Genomic DNA, 13427 nt, shown 5'->3' on the forward strand with positions numbered 1-13427 from the left:
GGGAGGCTGAGGCAGGAGAATCGCTTGAACCCAGGAGGCGGAGGTTGCAGTGAGCGGAGATCGTGCCACGGCACTCCAGCCTGGCGACAGAGCGAGACCCGTCTCAAAAAACAAAACAAAAGAATGAGCGAGTGCTCTAGGGAATGAGTCAGGACGCGCGCTCCCCCGCTCTAGGGGATGAGTCAGGACGCTTGAAGGGCCAGATCACGCAGCCCTCACACTGGGAGCTGCATCATCCAGGCCAGGAACTGGGCAGAGTGCCCTCTGGAAGCCCCGCAGCAGCACCGCCCAGCGTGCCTGGCTTTAGGGAGCAAGGCAGGGGATGGGGTGCCAGTGGACACATCTGTGCTGGGCAGAGAAGTTTGGGCGTCCAGGTCCTCCAGGAGCCCAGCCTGGGAACACCTCTAGGAGTGTGGAGACCCCGCCAGGCTTCTCTTGGGCACCTCAGGTCTCCCTGCACAGGGCCTCCTCCCCCACAGCCCCATGGTCTGACACCCCCTCTGCCCCACAGTGTTCAGCCTGCAGGACCTCTGCTGCCGGGCCATCGTCTCCTGCACCCCCGTGCACCTCATCGACAAGCTTCCACTGCCCGTCACCATCAAGAGCCACCTCAAGTCCTTCTCGATGGCCAACGGCATGAACGCGGTCATGATGCACGGCCGTTCCTACTCCCTGGCCAGCGGGGCCGGGGGCGGCGGCAGCAAGGGCAACAGCCTCAAGAGGTCCAAGTCCATCCGTCCACCCCAGAGCCCCCCCCAGAACTGCTCGCGGAGTAACTGCAAGATCTCCTAGCGGGGATGGGCGGGGCCGCCTGTGCAGATGCCAGGAGGGCTCGAGCTGGACACTCCTGGCTGGACGCCAGGCCAGTGCCGCCTACGTGGAGACTGTCCACACAGCTGCCTCAGAAGCGCCGGGCTTTCCTCACACCTGAGCCGGGTGCGAGGAGGAGCATGCACGGACCAAGCGCGGCAGGCGGGAGGAGGGGGCGCGGCTGGGCTGCTGGTGCTTCCGGGAATCTTGGTCGGAAACAAGCCGGGCCTCCCCAGCTGCCTGGGCTTGACCGGCGGGGAGCCTGGTTGGCCTTTCTTATTTATATAGAGAACACTTCACTTTTTTGTACATTTTTAAGGGGCCTTCAGGGAAGCCTGGGTGTGGCCCGGTGGTGGTGCACTGGTGACTTCATGGCCACGCCAGCTGCGGGGACGCACTTGGGACTCCTCGAGAGGGGACTCGCGGCCGCGATGGCAAGGCATCCTGTGAATTCATGCGCTGCGAGTGGCGGGGCTGCCCAGAGGCCGGGGGAGCAGACAGGGCCGGTGCTCCCTCTGGAAGCTTGGGTGACCGGGGCCCTGGCTCCCACGGGATGGAGGGTGTGGTCCTGTGGTCAGAGCCCAAGCAGCACTCAGGAGAGGGGAGAAAGGAGGTGCACCTGGCAGCCCACATTTTTGTTGCTCCCCAAATCCCTCCCCACGTGGGGATGAGAACCTTCCTGCTGTGATGTGACACCTTCGGGGACATTGACCACTCAAAACTCAGATCATCTCGCCCACCCTGGAGAGTGCAGAGCTATCTGTAGACTTAGGAATACTTGATGGGCAGCGGTGCAGACCCCGGGCACCTGCGTGCAGCCTCCTGTTCTCGGCAGCTTCTGTCGCTGGCCCTGGGGTCCCCACAGCTGCAGCTCTCCTGTGAGGTTGCACGGCATCAGAACCATCCTGACCTTCTTAGGGACGTGCCTGGAACCACCTCGTCCACGTCCACGTCCACCTGGGGGCCTCGGGAGGCTAGGCCCCTCCTCAAAGGCCCACCAGCCCGGCGCTCATGCTGAGCCCCAGGCACGCAGGGCCGGCCACCTCTCTCCTGAAGCCATTGGCCGCTCCTCCACCCAGTGCTTCTGCCCATGCCTGCCCCAGCAGCCCCTCTGCACGGTCACCATCGCCTGGGCCTGCCCACAGCACTGGTGCTCACCTCTACCTCCTGTCCTCAGGCCGTGCGGCACGACATGGCCAGCACGCAGAAGGAGCCCTCCCGGGACCCAGGACCCCCCGTGGTGGACTCCGCGGCACATGCTTCCCAAGGTGGTCCCACGGAGGGTGTTACTGGGCACCAGTGGACTCGCCCCATGGCCCGTTCCTGGGAGATGAGGGCCGTGGCCTGCATGAACTACCAGATGAGTAAGGGAACCCCAGGCAGGCGGCCCTGCCACAGCCCCCAAAGACACTGGCCTCCTGCTCCAGCTTCCCTGTCCTGGCCCCACCTGTCCTGTTGCTGCCAGCAGGGCCCTTGTTTGGGATTATGAACAAACCTCACAGACTTTGAGGACCTGGATGGTCCTGCATTCACGGCATCAACACTACCCGCGCTGCTGTTAGACACTCCGCCATTCCTGGTTCTCTCCGAACCGTTCTTTGTACAGTAAATGTAATTCAGCTGTGGTCCCCACGTTTTGCTGTGTCTGGTGGGGTGGGTCTGGCAGTGGCGGTGCCCCGTGCCAGGGGCCAGTGCTGCTTCATACCCGGCAAACTGACCTCTGGCCTTTGTTTTGCCTGCTGTTCCCTGCGCTGACCGGGCTGACCTGCCGCGGTTGGCTGGGTTCGCCTCAAAGTGAGGGCTGGAGCTGGGCTGGAGCAGCTGGGCCTGGTCACGGCCATTCTCCTCTTCCCGGTGGATGGAATCCCAGCTGGGCTGTGCTGAGCCCTCGCTCACAGTCCCCGGCAGCAGATGGCCTGGGGCGGACTGTCCCCAACAGCAGCAGGACTCCAGAGGGCCAGGTCCTCCAGTCAGTCGGCCCGCTCAGCAGAGCCGCCTGCACGCTGGCCAATCTGGTGTCTGCTATGCCCGGCCCAGGGGGGTGTGGACGCCCCGGAGGTCACAGCTGAGCTGGAACGGGGCACTCCAGTTGGTACAGGGACCAGACCACAGCCTCTGGCTCAGGTGCCTCCCTGTGCTGTTTCGTGGGCATGTCCGGGCCTTAAGCCCCTCCCTGGCAGCTCCAGCCCAGCCGCCTGCTGCTGGGTCTGGCCTAGCTACCCCCACCCCCACGCTATCAGGGCCCACCCCCAGTCTCCTTGTAGAGCAGGGACTGGCGCCTGGAGCCGTCTCCGGGTCTCATTCTGACCAGACCAGGCTCCTGTTACCCTGCCTCCTGGGTCAGAGGTCAGACACAGGGTCAGGGGGACACTCCCATCCGGTCTCAAGAGAACCACTCCCTGAGGCCCCAGACATCTGGAGCCACAGAGGGTTTGGAAGGGTAGATTCCAGGCAGCCTTTTGTCCTGCTGCACCAGGCAGGCCAGCCCCCTGCCCTCCCCAACGAAGAGGAGCCAGCCTGGGGATGTGTGCCCCGCCGACGGGGGGCTGGGGCAGGGCAAGGCTCTGGTGCCCTGGGACACTTGCTCTTTTCAGCTGCAGACGCCCTTGCACTTGGCCTTCCCTCGGGCGGTGCCATCCCACGCGGAGCCACGTCCAGGGCTACACGGTGCGTGGGCCGAGGCTCCGGCATCAGCGTTTCGGGCTGTTCTTATGCTTGTGGTGGCCACAGGCCTCTTCCTGCTGCACCTGCCCCGCCTTGGGGACAGGCCTGAGCCCCAAGCCCGCTGCCTGGTTTCAGGGATGGGGTCTCTGGGAATGCAGTCCTGCCGGGTTGGGCCCCACTCCAACAGGGGCAGCAGAGCAGAGGAGGCCGGGCTGTGCTGGGCGTCCTGCAGACCCCTGTGCCCCTGAAACAGCCATGGAGGGGGGAAGGAACCTCGGAGCGGAGTGAAGCCCTCGGCCGCACGTGACCGTTGCCAGCCTGGACCTGGCCCGGGGGACCCAGGCTGTGGTCAGCCACGCTCTGCGGGGAGGGCCCGTGCCTGCCACCCCCATGGCATAGGAGCCTGGGGTCCAGAGGGCGCCAGGGACAAAAGCTGGGATCTGCTGGCCCTGCCCCCACCCTACTGAGGGTCGTCAAGGAGATTGATCTCAGCCCAGGGGTGGACGAAGGGGTTCAGGTTACAGGGTCCCCTCCCCTCCCCCTCTCCAGCCAGAGCCAGCCCTTCCCCGCCCCGGTGACCCTCATGGCCAGTGGCTCTGTGCTCATGGGCCTCTGGCCCCTCCCCAACCTCCTCCCCTCTGCCCTGTGCTGACCAGGGCCTGGGAGCCCCCGCACGGTTCAGACAGAGGGGCCAGGCTGAAGCTGGAGAGGAACCAGCGTCACACAGACGGCCTCTGAGAACTTGGAGACCCCGTTACCCACCCAGCAGGGGTGTCAGGACAAGCATCTGCTGCAGGCTTCAGCCTCAGGGGCAAAAGGGAGCCCCGGGGTCCTGGTGGGGGCACCGACCACAGGCCCGGAGGGTGGATGCCTGCAGGAAGCTGGGCTCTGTGGAGCCCGAGGAGGGGCTGGTGGCCACACCCCCCGGCCCCCTGGCTCGGCGGCCCTCATGCCCGCCCTACGTCCACTCCTGCCGCTCCTGCTCCTCCTCCGGCTGACCTCGGGGGCTGGCTTGCTGCCAGGGCTGGGGAGCCACCCGGGCGTGTGCCCCAACCAGCTCAGCCCCAACCTGTGGGTGGACGCCCAGAGCACCTGTGAGCGCGAGTGTAGCAGGGACCAGGTGAGTGTGGTCGGGCCGGGGTCCTGGGGCTCAGAGCAGCCAGCCTGGGCAAGACCCTGCTGGAGGTGCCACCTTCTGCCTGGGCTCCCCAGACTTCTGGGGGGTCTGGGTCTGGGCCCCTTAAGGGGCCCAGAGACACCCCCATCGTTGCCCTCATTTGTCTTAAGAATAAGAGCCCTCCCCACTCCAGCTTTCATGCTCCCCATGTGCCTCCACCCTGGGGCACCATCATCCTCGGCGACCACCCCCACCCCGTCACTGCCTCTCCTCCCACCCTCTCCTCCCACCCTCTCCTCCCATCCACTTCTCCCACCCCTTCACTGCCTCTCCTTCCATCCTCTCCTCCCACCCTCTCCTCCCATCCACTCCTCCCATCCACTTCTTCCATCCTCTTCTCCCACCCCGTCACTGCCTCTCCTTCCATCCTCTCCTATCCACTCCTCCCATCCACTTCTTCCATCCTCTTCTCCCACCCCATCACTGCCTCTCCTTCCATCCTCTCCTATCCACTCCTCCCATCCACTTTTTCCATCCTCTTCTCTCACCCCGTCATTGCCTCTCCTTCCATCCTCTCCTCCCATCCACTTCTCCCACCCCTTCACTGCCTCTCCTCCCACCCTCTCCTCCCATCCACTCCTCCCATCCACTCCTCCCATCCACTTCTTCCATCCTCTTCTCCCACCCCGTCACTGCCTCTCCTTCCATCCTCTCCTCCCACCCTCTCCTTCCATCCTCTCCTCCCACCCTCTCCTTCCATCCACTGTCCTCCCTGTCCTCCCACCCTCCTTCCATCCGGGACCAGTGCAGATGGTGGTGGGGGTGCTGCAGCCGATGTCCAGCCTTTGTCCTGGCCCGCACCACCTGCTGGGTGGTCCTGAGCACTGTACGCCCTCCTTGGGCCTCAGTTTCCTCGTCTGTACAACGTAAAGAATAACGGAACTTGCTTGTGGGTGTGAGGATTCTGGAAGGTAAGCCAGGTGGCACCTCTGGCGAGGTGGCTCCTCACACAGGATGGAAAGGACACTGAGTCCCCGGGGAGGCAGCCACAGAGCGGGGGGCTCCCTGCTACCCCACCTGGGCCTCCCCTTGCAGGGGCCAGGCCAGAGCCCCGGGGCGGGGGGCATTGGGGCTCCCACCTAAGTGTCCCCCATCCCCAGGACTGTGCGGCTGCTGAGAAGTGCTGCATCAACGTGTGTGGACTGCACAGCTGCGTGGCAGCACGCTTCCCCGGCAGCCCAGCTGCGCCGACGACAGCGGCCTCCTGCGAGGGCTTTGTGTGCCCACAGCAGGGCTCGGACTGCGACATCTGGGACGGGCAGCCCGTGTGCCGCTGCCGCGACCGCTGTGAGAAGGAGCCCAGCTTCACCTGCGCCTCGGACGGCCTCACCTACTACAACCGCTGCTATATGGACGCCGAGGCCTGCCTGCGGGGCCTGCACCTCCACATCGTGCCCTGCAAGCACGTGCTCAGCTGGCCGCCCAGCAGCCCGGGGCCGCCGGAGACCACTGCCCGCCCCACACCTGGGGCCGCGCCCGTGCCTCCTGCCCTGTACAGCAGCCCCTCCCCACAGGCGGTGCAGGTTGGGGGTACGGCCAGCCTCCACTGCGACGTCAGCGGCCGCCCGCCGCCTGCTGTGACCTGGGAGAAGCAGAGTCACCAGCGAGAGAACCTGATCATGCGCCCTGATCAGATGTATGGCAACGTGGTGGTCACCAGCATCGGGCAGCTGGTGCTCTACAACGCGCGGCCCGAAGACGCCGGCCTGTACACCTGCACCGCGCGCAACGCTGCTGGGCTGCTGCGGGCTGACTTCCCACTCTCTGTGGTCCAGCGAGAGCCGGCCAGGGACGCAGCCCCCAGCATCCCAGCCCCGGCCGAGTGCCTGCCGGATGTGCAGGCCTGCACGGGCCCCACTTCCCCACACCTTGTCCTCTGGCACTACGACCCGCAGCGGGGCGGCTGCATGACCTTCCCGGCCCGTGGCTGTGATGGGGCGGCCCGCGGCTTTGAGACCTACGAGGCATGCCAGCAGGCCTGTGCCCGCGGCCCCGGCGACGCCTGCGTGCTGCCTGCCGTGCAGGGCCCCTGCCGGGGCTGGGAGCCGCGCTGGGCCTACAGCCCGCTGCTGCAGCAGTGCCATCCCTTCGTGTACGGTGGCTGCGAGGGCAACGGCAACAACTTCCACAGCCGCGAGAGCTGCGAGGATGCCTGCCCCGTGCCGCGCACACCGCCCTGCCGCGCCTGCCGCCTCCGGAGCAAGCTGGCGCTGAGCCTGTGCCGCAGCGACTTCGCCATCGTGGGGCGGCTCACGGAGGTGCTGGAGGAGCCCGAGGCCGCCGGCGGCATCGCCCGCGTGGCGCTCGAGGACGTGCTCAAGGATGACAAGATGGGCCTCAAGTTCTTGGGCACCAAGTACCTGGAGGTGACGCTGAGTGGCATGGACTGGGCCTGCCCCTGCCCCAACATGACGGCGGGCGACGGGCCGCTGGTCATCATGGGTGAGGTGCGCGATGGCGTGGCCGTGCTGGACGCCGGCAGCTACGTCCGCGCCGCCAGCGAGAAGCGCGTCAAGAAGATCTTGGAGCTGCTGGAGAAGCAGGCCTGCGAGCTGCTCAACCGCTTCCAGGACTAGCCCCCGCAGGGGCCTGCGCCACCCCGTCCTGGTGAATAAACGCACTCCCTGTGCCTCAGACCTCCTGGCTTGCTGCTGCTGGTCGGGCGACCCTCATCCTTCCAGGTGCCCCATGCCCAGCCAGTTTCCGCTGGGGCCTTGACACCCACTGGGGCTTGGGCTTTGGTACAAGGTCACCAGGGAGTGCCTGTCCGCCCCTGCATCCCCAACCAGCTCCATCCTGCCTCAGCAGCTGTCTCGGCCCCAATCCCACTGCCCGAGCTCCAGCAGCAAGGATCAGGACGTCCCAAGCCCTTGACCCCACAGGAGACCCCGTCTCCCACCCAACCTCACAAGGTGCTCCTAGGAGGAGGTGGGGCAGACACCAGCAAGCCGGCAGCAGGACATGCTTTATTCTGAGCAGGCTGGGCCCTTCGGCCAGCGGCTGAGAGCACAGACTGGGTGGGGCTGTCGTCCACAAGGTCCGGCCTAGGGAGGCAGGGTTCGTGCCTCACAGAGCCTCCGGCAGGGATGCAGGTGTGCGGGGGTGAAGGAGGGGCTTAGTTTTTCCGGAAGATCAGGCATTTGTTGTTGGCTGGCATGTCCACCTGGAGAAACACTTTGCTGGAGGACGGCCCTCAACCCCTAGAGAGGTTGCCTGGGCCCCCGCTCCCCCACCTACCATCCTCTCCAGGAGCAGGCCACTGGCCTTTCCCAGGTCCTCCAGGAGGGCTGTGTCCCGAAGCCCCCATTCTGGGTTCCTGCAGAGGGTGGGGAGATGGAGTCATGGCCTGGGGGGTGCCACCCAAGCCACCTGCCACCTGAGCCAGACCCCCCGCCTCTAGCTCTGACCTGCATCTGAGCATCAGGTCAAAGTCCACGTTGCTCTGGGGGGAGATCTTCCCATTGATGGCATAGGGCTGTGGGCATGGGGACACAGCCCACTGGACCAAGGTCGGGGTATTTCCCAGAGAGCCTGGGACAGACTTGCAGGCTGGGGTTTGGAGAATGAAAGGGCACCCCCTCCCTGTCCCCAAGAGGGAGTCAGCCAAGGCCAGCCTGGTGGGCAAGGGGGTAGGGAGGCTGGCAGATGACCCAGGGAGGGGTACAGACTGGAAGTGGAGGGGAGGCCGTGCTGGTGGCTGGGCGGGGGGCAGGGAGCCCAGGAGGGAGGACTCTCAGCAGGGCAGGAGACAGCAGCTAGGACTGGGAGCGGGAGGCCCGCCGTGGACAGGCCCACTCACCCCGTAGGTGATGAGCAGGGCCCTGGGTTTGAGCAGGTGTCCTGCTGCTCTGAAGAGCCCCTGGTGAGTAGGAACAGGACGGCAGTGAGGTGCTGCCCCCAACAGAAGCCAGGCCCTGAGGCTGGAGACCCTCACCCCGACTGTGATGGGGGAGGCTGGAGACCCTCACCCCGACTGTGATGGGGGAGGCTGGAGACCCTCACCCCGACTGTGATGGGGGAGGCTGGAGACCCTCACCCCGACTGTGATGGGGGCAAATCTGGCATCCCAGCTGCCCCCATGCAGGGTGAGTGGTGCCACGGCAGACACCCATGCTGGGCTCCCCACAGACCTCCGTGCAGCGCAGGGGGCTGACATGGGCCATGTTGATGCAGAGCAACAGGTCCAGCGACTGTGGCAGGATCCCGCCCCAGTGCTCCCAGCCCCACGTCACGTCCAGGTGTAGCGGGGCCTTCACGTTGGTCAGGCCCTGGGCTTGCGTGGTGGCCGCGATGCTGCAGGAGGCGAACGCTTGGGTGGGGGCCGAGTCCTGTGCACCCGCCTTTCCGACGCCCCCACAGAATTTCTTAGGGGAGGCTGGGGGGCACGTTGAGGAGCGGAGACCAAAGCGGCTGGGAAGGGGGACCCCGAGGTCCACCCACTTCCGCAGCCGCGGGGGCCGCACAGCTAGGGCCTGCCCCGGGGGCACCCCCAGGCTCCCACCCCGCACCCTCAGAGCCCGAGCCGCATCCTTTTCCTCCGGGGCTGCGGGCCGTGGGCTCTTGAGGCCCCGGACCGCCGCACCGATAGAAGTGGCCGCCCCGGGGGCCGCACCTGTCCAGGCAGCGCTGGTCCACGTCCGACGGCTGCCACTCGGCCAGGGGGAAGGCCCGCGCGAAGTGCGCTGCGTGCTGGCCGGAGCCCGAGGCCACCTCGAGGACGCGGACGCCACGCTGGGCCGGATCCAGGTACTGCCGCAGCACGTGCAAGATGGGATCCTTGTTCCGCTCCGCGGCCGCCGCCACCAGCATCGCGGCAGCAACAACTCCCCGCCGCGGACGCGGCGCGGGTCGCGTCGGGGGCGGTGGCCGGGCTTCCGCGGGGCACGTCGGGAGCTGTAGTCCAGATACCGCGGGGCACGTCGGAAGCTGATAAACTACAACTCCCAGGAGCACGCGCGCCTCCTGTTAAAGGACCAGCAGTCGCCAGAGGCACGGTGGGGAGCGGCTCAGCGGTGTGTGGCGGTCCCAGGCAGGGGACTGAACGGCGAGCTTGGCTTGCTGGTTTACAGGCGCCTCAGCTCAGGCACCCTGTCGCCCATGGCCGTCCAGGGTTTTCAGGGCACCTGTGTCACTCTCCGAAATTTGTGTCAGCGCTGCGCCAGACTGGGCGCCTTCCCTTGGTTTCGGGTTTTCTCTACTTTTAAATTTCTGGCGTTAGCGAGAGTTCGATGTTCAAATGGGAAAAAAAACTAAGTGCGCCGCCCGGGAATCGAACCCGGGTCGCAAGAATGGGAATCTTGCATGATACCACTACACCAGCGGCGCTGTCTAAGACAGTTGCTGCCCGCGGAGACAAGAGACTGTGACGCGGGAAGTCCTCCGGGCGTGCGCCGCCGCTGGCGCCGGGCTCAGCGCAAGGGAGCTGGCGACTGCATAGGAGGACCCAGCTGGCGGGACCGCGAGGGTAAGAGTCTCGCGGTGCCCCCCAGTGCCGGAGGGGAAGGAGCGGGCGTGAAGGACGCGAGCTGGAGGACAGTCTCGATTCGGGCCTGAGCCGTGGAAGCCGTTGGCCTTCGTGAGCCGATGGGGGCGAGGCCCTGTCGGGGCGGGGCTGGGGAGAGGGCGGGGCTGGGCTGGGGCCCCCTGTTGGTCCGAGTTTAGGGCGGGGTTGCCGGAGGGGCGGGGCCATATCGGGGCGGGTCCGAGAGGGGAGGCGGGGCTGGGGGGCGGGACATGAGTGTGGACTGGCGGGTTGGGGCGGGGCCAGAGCGGGGTTGCGGCAGGGGCGGCAGGGGCGGCAGGGGCGGCAGGGGCGGCAGAGGGCGGGGCGGGCGGTCCCAGCCTGCAGAACTGGGCGGTCTGCGGGAGGGGCACGAATAATGCCCCAGGGTTTCTCTGTGACACTGGGGTAACAGCACCAGCTCAGGGCCCACGGATAGCGTGAGGGGTCGGTCGGTGACCCCCGAAATCAAGTCACAGGCCGCGATTTATGTGCGCCCGAGGGTTGGGGTCCCAGCCTCAGAGCCGGGCTCTTCTCCAGAAAGTGCCAAGCGCCTGGCTCTGCATTCAGGACTGGCTTAGCGCCTTTGCTGAGCCGTTTTTCACCAATGGGAACCCCATATCGCTCTGGCTAGGGCAAGGACGTTGGAAGGGGTAAACCAGGGAGGGCCAGTCACGTGGCTCAGGGTAGGAGAGTGGCTTACAGGCTGCCAGTCTGGGACTGGGAACGCGGGCCATGGGGGGCTCAGGGAGTCAGGGGTCAGGGACAACCCTGCCAGGAGATGTTGGTGTCCGCCGTGGTGGTGACTGGCCAGACCCTGCAGCAGGCTCTGCGGCCCAAGCCCACGCTTTCCTCGCCTGACTGGCCGCCTCCATCTCTCTTTCTGTGGGCTGAGCACTTTCCCTGCGCCTCCTTCAATGCGCACCCTGCCCCCAACCCCCACCTCGAGGAGAGCCCCAGGAGGAGGGACCTATGATGACCAGTGGTTCTCCTGGGGCCCATGCACCTCTCCTCACCCAGATTTCACCTGGGCTTCCCTAGGCACAGGAAAGAGGAGCCCGAGATCAGTCTCTCTGCGCCTCCCTGCTTCCCCCCTTGAATGGAGCTGCGTTCAGGAGCTGCCTACAGTGCCCAGCGCATGGCAGGTTTAGTGTTGCCTGACTTCAGATATGGCCTATTGTTGGGGCTGGATGTTTGGGCCTCGTGGCTTGACCACCAATGGCTGAAGCAAACGCTAGCTCTGCTGAGCTCTGGGCCAGCCCAGCTTGTCCTTGCCGCCTGCAGTGGGCCCCAAAGGTGGGGGGCCGCCTTCGGGAGCCTGTGTGAGCTCGGGTTATGCCCTTCCCCACATGGGGCTTCCCTCCCCAGCACCGCCCTCACTCTAACTCAGCTGGTCCTTGCTGCCAGGTCTTCCACAGGAGCATATGCCCTCAGGCTGTGCACAGGCCCCCCAGCACCCCGTCCTGCCTCCCTGGCCTGTGTGAGTGATTGCGCTGAAGGCCACTGGGAGAAGCCAGGGCAGGACGCAGGCTGCACAGATGACGGGGATCACACTGGCCTTCCTTGAAGGACACGATGCCCGATGCTGGTGGGGGGAGGGCAGAGCCAGGTGGGGGGAGGGGAACTGGGGGAGTGGGGAAGGTGGGGGCAGGGGTGGGGGTGGGAGGTAGAAAAGAGTCCGTGAGGAGTCCTTCCTAGGGGGCGTCTCAGGCTTGGCCTCCCTGGCTGTGGCTTGCCATCTCCTTTGCCCTCTGAGGGCCACAGGCCTGGCCCAACCCTGCAGAGAAGGCAGCTGGGGATGGAAACCTCTTTCCTTCCGCTCTTCAGCCATGCTGAGGAGGGGTACAGGGCCAAGAGACACCTGGGTCAGAAGCTTCCCTGAGGGCCTCCCAGTAAGTCTGGAGCTCCCAGAAGGGAGGAGAAGCAGGGCCAGTGCATGGGGTGGGGGCTCCTCGGGCTGGCCCCCCACCACCAAGGGCCTCCCCTCACCCCTCCATGTGGTGCATGTTGCTTGCCTGGAAATTTAGACAGGAAGACTCTGGGCCCTGCCGCCCACCCGCCACAGCTCCGTTTTCAGCCACAGCATCCCTGACCTCTCCTTGGAGAATGTGGGGGCCACTGGACACGCCAGGCCCTGATGCCGGCACAGGCAGCCTCCTCTTGTTCCTGGACCAAACTGAGAGTCGGGCTGCTATTTCTCGTGGCCCAGTAACGAGATGCAGATGAACTGGTGAGGAAGAGGGTTTTTATTTCTGCAGCCGGTTACAAGGAGAAGGCCTGGAAATTATCACCAGAACAAGTCAAATTACAAAGTTTTCCAGAGGTTATGTACCTTCCAACCTAGATGTCTGTGTGTAAGTGTGCATTCATCTGAAGACATAAGTGGTTAACTTTTTTCTTTTTTCTTTTTTTTGAGACGGAGTCTTGCTCTGTTGCCCAGGCTGGAGTGCAGTGGCACGATCTTGGGCTCACTATTTTTAGTAGAGACGGGGTTTCCCCGTGTTAGCCAGGATGGTCTCGATTTCCTGACCTCGTGATCCGCCCGCCTCGGCCTCCCAAAGTGCTGGGATTACAGGCGTGAGCCACCGTGCCCGGCCAAGTGATTAACTTCTTTTAATCTATAATTAAGGCCTGAGTCCTGAAGACCTTCCCCTGGAGCCTCAGTAAACTGACTTAATCTTGTTTCCTGCTAAATCATGAAGGTTTGGGGAGTTCCTTCGGGCTCCCAATAAACTTGTCTGTGGAGGCCTGGAGAGTTTCTTCAGACCTCCAATAAACTTGTTTAATCCTAAACGGGTCCTATTAAGAATTCCTTCGTTATCTTGTCGCGCTTCAAGGCCCAGGAGAGGCCTGGGCACAGCTCTTGGTGGGCTTTTGTTACATTCCAGCCTTTGAAGAAGGGCACTGGCTTTTCTTCTTTAGAGTCCTGCTCTGTCGCCCAGGCTGGAGTGCAGTGATGTGATCTCAGCTCACTGCAACCTCCACCTCCTGGGTTCAAGTGATTCTCCTGTCTCAGCCTCCCGAGTAGCTGGGACTACAGGTGTGTGCCACCACACCCGGCATTTTTTTTTTTTTTTTTTTGAGACGGAGTCTCACTCTTTTGCCCAGGCTGGAGTGTAGTGGCACGATCTTGGCTCACTGCAACCTCTGTCTCCCAGGTTCAAGTGATTCTCCTGCCTCAGCCTCTGGAGTAGCTGGGATTATAGGCACCTGCCACCATGCCTGGCTAATTTTTTTTTTTTTTTTTTTTTTGTATTTTTAGTAGAGATGGGGTTT

The 13427-nt window shown here is 64.5% G+C and overlaps 3 protein-coding genes, 1 long non-coding RNA gene and 1 other non-coding gene across 21 annotated transcripts in view, besides 9 other annotated features; 3 read left to right on the forward strand and 2 right to left on the reverse strand.

The window, feature by feature from the left end:
* Positions 1–2438, forward strand: part of RAB40C (RAB40C, member RAS oncogene family) — a 39912-nt gene extending 37474 nt beyond the window's left edge. For all 5 annotated transcript variants that reach the window (NM_001172663.2, NM_001172664.2, NM_021168.5 and 2 more), the window contains one exon: positions 512–2438. In NM_001172663.2, coding sequence (NP_001166134.1) covers positions 512–792 — 281 coding nt within the window. In that variant the 3' untranslated portion in view covers positions 793–2438. The remainder of the gene's footprint in view (positions 1–511) is intronic.
* Positions 577–1310: an enhancer, noted in NCBI's record as "H3K27ac-H3K4me1 hESC enhancer chr16:677407-678140 (GRCh37/hg19 assembly coordinates)". NCBI's record gives its function as "activates a minimal SCP1, AML or CMV promoter by ChIP-STARR-seq in naive H9 embryonic stem cells {active_cell/tissue: H9 hESC(naive)}" and the evidence as "EXISTENCE:reporter gene assay evidence [ECO:0000049][PMID:30033119]".
* Positions 697–947: a silencer, noted in NCBI's record as "fragment chr16:677527-677777 (GRCh37/hg19 assembly coordinates)". NCBI's record gives its function as "represses an EF-1alpha promoter that drives an FKBP-Casp9 reporter gene in an ReSE screen in phorbol 12-myristate 13-acetate-treated (for megakaryocytic differentiation) K562 erythroleukemia cells {active_cell/tissue: K562(+PMA)}" and the evidence as "EXISTENCE:reporter gene assay evidence [ECO:0000049][PMID:32094911]".
* Positions 2780–3513: an enhancer, noted in NCBI's record as "H3K27ac-H3K4me1 hESC enhancer chr16:679610-680343 (GRCh37/hg19 assembly coordinates)". NCBI's record gives its function as "activates a minimal SCP1, AML or CMV promoter by ChIP-STARR-seq in naive H9 embryonic stem cells {active_cell/tissue: H9 hESC(naive)}" and the evidence as "EXISTENCE:reporter gene assay evidence [ECO:0000049][PMID:30033119]".
* Positions 3039–3333: an enhancer, noted in NCBI's record as "tiled region #12344; K562 Activating DNase matched - State 5:Enh". NCBI's record gives its function as "activates a minimal TATA promoter and a strong SV40 promoter by Sharpr-MPRA in K562 cells {active_cell/tissue: K562}" and the evidence as "EXISTENCE:reporter gene assay evidence [ECO:0000049][PMID:27701403]".
* Positions 3514–4248: an enhancer, noted in NCBI's record as "H3K27ac-H3K4me1 hESC enhancer chr16:680344-681078 (GRCh37/hg19 assembly coordinates)". NCBI's record gives its function as "activates a minimal SCP1, AML or CMV promoter by ChIP-STARR-seq in primed H9 embryonic stem cells {active_cell/tissue: H9 hESC(primed)}" and the evidence as "EXISTENCE:reporter gene assay evidence [ECO:0000049][PMID:30033119]".
* WFIKKN1 (WAP, follistatin/kazal, immunoglobulin, kunitz and netrin domain containing 1) lies at positions 4155–7287 on the forward strand. The gene is made up of 2 exons (NM_053284.3): positions 4155–4594; positions 5752–7287. Exons 1-2 carry the CDS (start codon positions 4424–4426, stop codon positions 7225–7227), a joined length of 1647 nt encoding a protein of 548 aa, NP_444514.1. The 5' UTR covers positions 4155–4423; the 3' UTR covers positions 7228–7287.
* Positions 7288–7599: 312 nt separating this feature from the next.
* On the reverse strand, positions 7600–9475 carry METTL26 (methyltransferase like 26). 13 transcript variants are annotated; one of them, NR_109978.2, is made up of 6 exons: positions 9264–9475; positions 8782–8944; positions 8451–8510; positions 8059–8233; positions 7889–7967; positions 7600–7814 (listed from the first exon to the last, which is right to left on the reverse strand). NR_109978.2 is itself a non-coding variant. In NM_032366.5 (6 exons), the coding sequence occupies exons 1-6, from the start codon at positions 9458–9460 to the stop codon at positions 7767–7769; spliced, it is 615 nt and encodes a 204-aa protein (NP_115742.3). In that variant the 5' UTR covers positions 9461–9475; the 3' UTR covers positions 7600–7766. The 13 variants fall into 13 exon arrangements, 9 of the variants coding, with proteins under 9 accessions (NP_115742.3, XP_011521015.1, NP_001275639.1 ...); NM_032366.5 differs by having other exon boundaries at positions 8059–8126; XM_011522713.3 differs by having other exon boundaries at positions 8688–8944.
* Positions 8415–9074: an enhancer, noted in NCBI's record as "H3K27ac-H3K4me1 hESC enhancer chr16:685245-685904 (GRCh37/hg19 assembly coordinates)". NCBI's record gives its function as "activates a minimal SCP1, AML or CMV promoter by ChIP-STARR-seq in primed H9 embryonic stem cells {active_cell/tissue: H9 hESC(primed)}" and the evidence as "EXISTENCE:reporter gene assay evidence [ECO:0000049][PMID:30033119]".
* Positions 9137–9316: a silencer, noted in NCBI's record as "silent region_6928". NCBI's record gives its function as "represses an Ori minimal core promoter by ATAC-STARR-seq in GM12878 lymphoblastoid cells {active_cell/tissue: GM12878}" and the evidence as "EXISTENCE:reporter gene assay evidence [ECO:0000049][PMID:35858748]".
* Positions 9367–9486: a silencer, noted in NCBI's record as "silent region_6929". NCBI's record gives its function as "represses an Ori minimal core promoter by ATAC-STARR-seq in GM12878 lymphoblastoid cells {active_cell/tissue: GM12878}" and the evidence as "EXISTENCE:reporter gene assay evidence [ECO:0000049][PMID:35858748]".
* TRG-CCC2-2 (tRNA-Gly (anticodon CCC) 2-2) lies at positions 9906–9976 on the reverse strand. Its single transcript has one exon. It is a non-coding gene; the product is annotated as a tRNA-Gly (tRNA).
* Positions 9977–10121: 145 nt separating this feature from the next.
* Positions 10122–12375, forward strand: LOC100287175 (uncharacterized). Its single transcript, NR_149003.1, has 4 exons — positions 10122–10226; positions 11193–11296; positions 11979–12043; positions 12179–12375. It is a non-coding gene; the product is annotated as an uncharacterized LOC100287175 (long non-coding RNA).
* Positions 10505–11279: an enhancer, noted in NCBI's record as "H3K27ac-H3K4me1 hESC enhancer chr16:687335-688109 (GRCh37/hg19 assembly coordinates)". NCBI's record gives its function as "activates a minimal SCP1, AML or CMV promoter by ChIP-STARR-seq in naive H9 embryonic stem cells {active_cell/tissue: H9 hESC(naive)}" and the evidence as "EXISTENCE:reporter gene assay evidence [ECO:0000049][PMID:30033119]".
* Positions 12376–13427: the final 1052 nt, after the last annotated feature.

Source organism: Homo sapiens, chromosome 16, assembly GCF_000001405.40.
Source record: "Homo sapiens chromosome 16, GRCh38.p14 Primary Assembly".
NCBI lineage: Eukaryota > Metazoa > Chordata > Mammalia > Primates > Hominidae > Homo > Homo sapiens.

Bases quoted from the DNA above. Each gene is read 5' to 3' on its own strand.
- WFIKKN1 (NM_053284.3), top strand. From the start codon at position 4,424: ATGCCCGCCCTACGTCCACTCCTGCCGCTCCTGCTCCTCCTCCGGCTG. The intron at 4,595-5,751 runs GTGAGTGTGGTC...CCCCATCCCCAG, and splicing joins GCGAGTGTAGCAGGGACCAG to GACTGTGCGGCTGCTGAGAA.
- METTL26 (XM_011522713.3), bottom strand. From the start codon at position 9,460: ATGCTGGTGGCGGCGGCCGCGGAGCGGAACAAGGATCCCATCTTGCAC. The intron at 8,945-9,263 runs GTGCGGCCCCCG...CGCCTCCTGCAG, and splicing joins GACCAGCGCTGCCTGGACAG to CATCGCGGCCACCACGCAAG. The intron at 8,234-8,450 runs GTGAGTGGGCCT...TCTTGGGGACAG, and splicing joins CCCTGCTCATCACCTACGGG to GGAGGGGGTGCCCTTTCATT.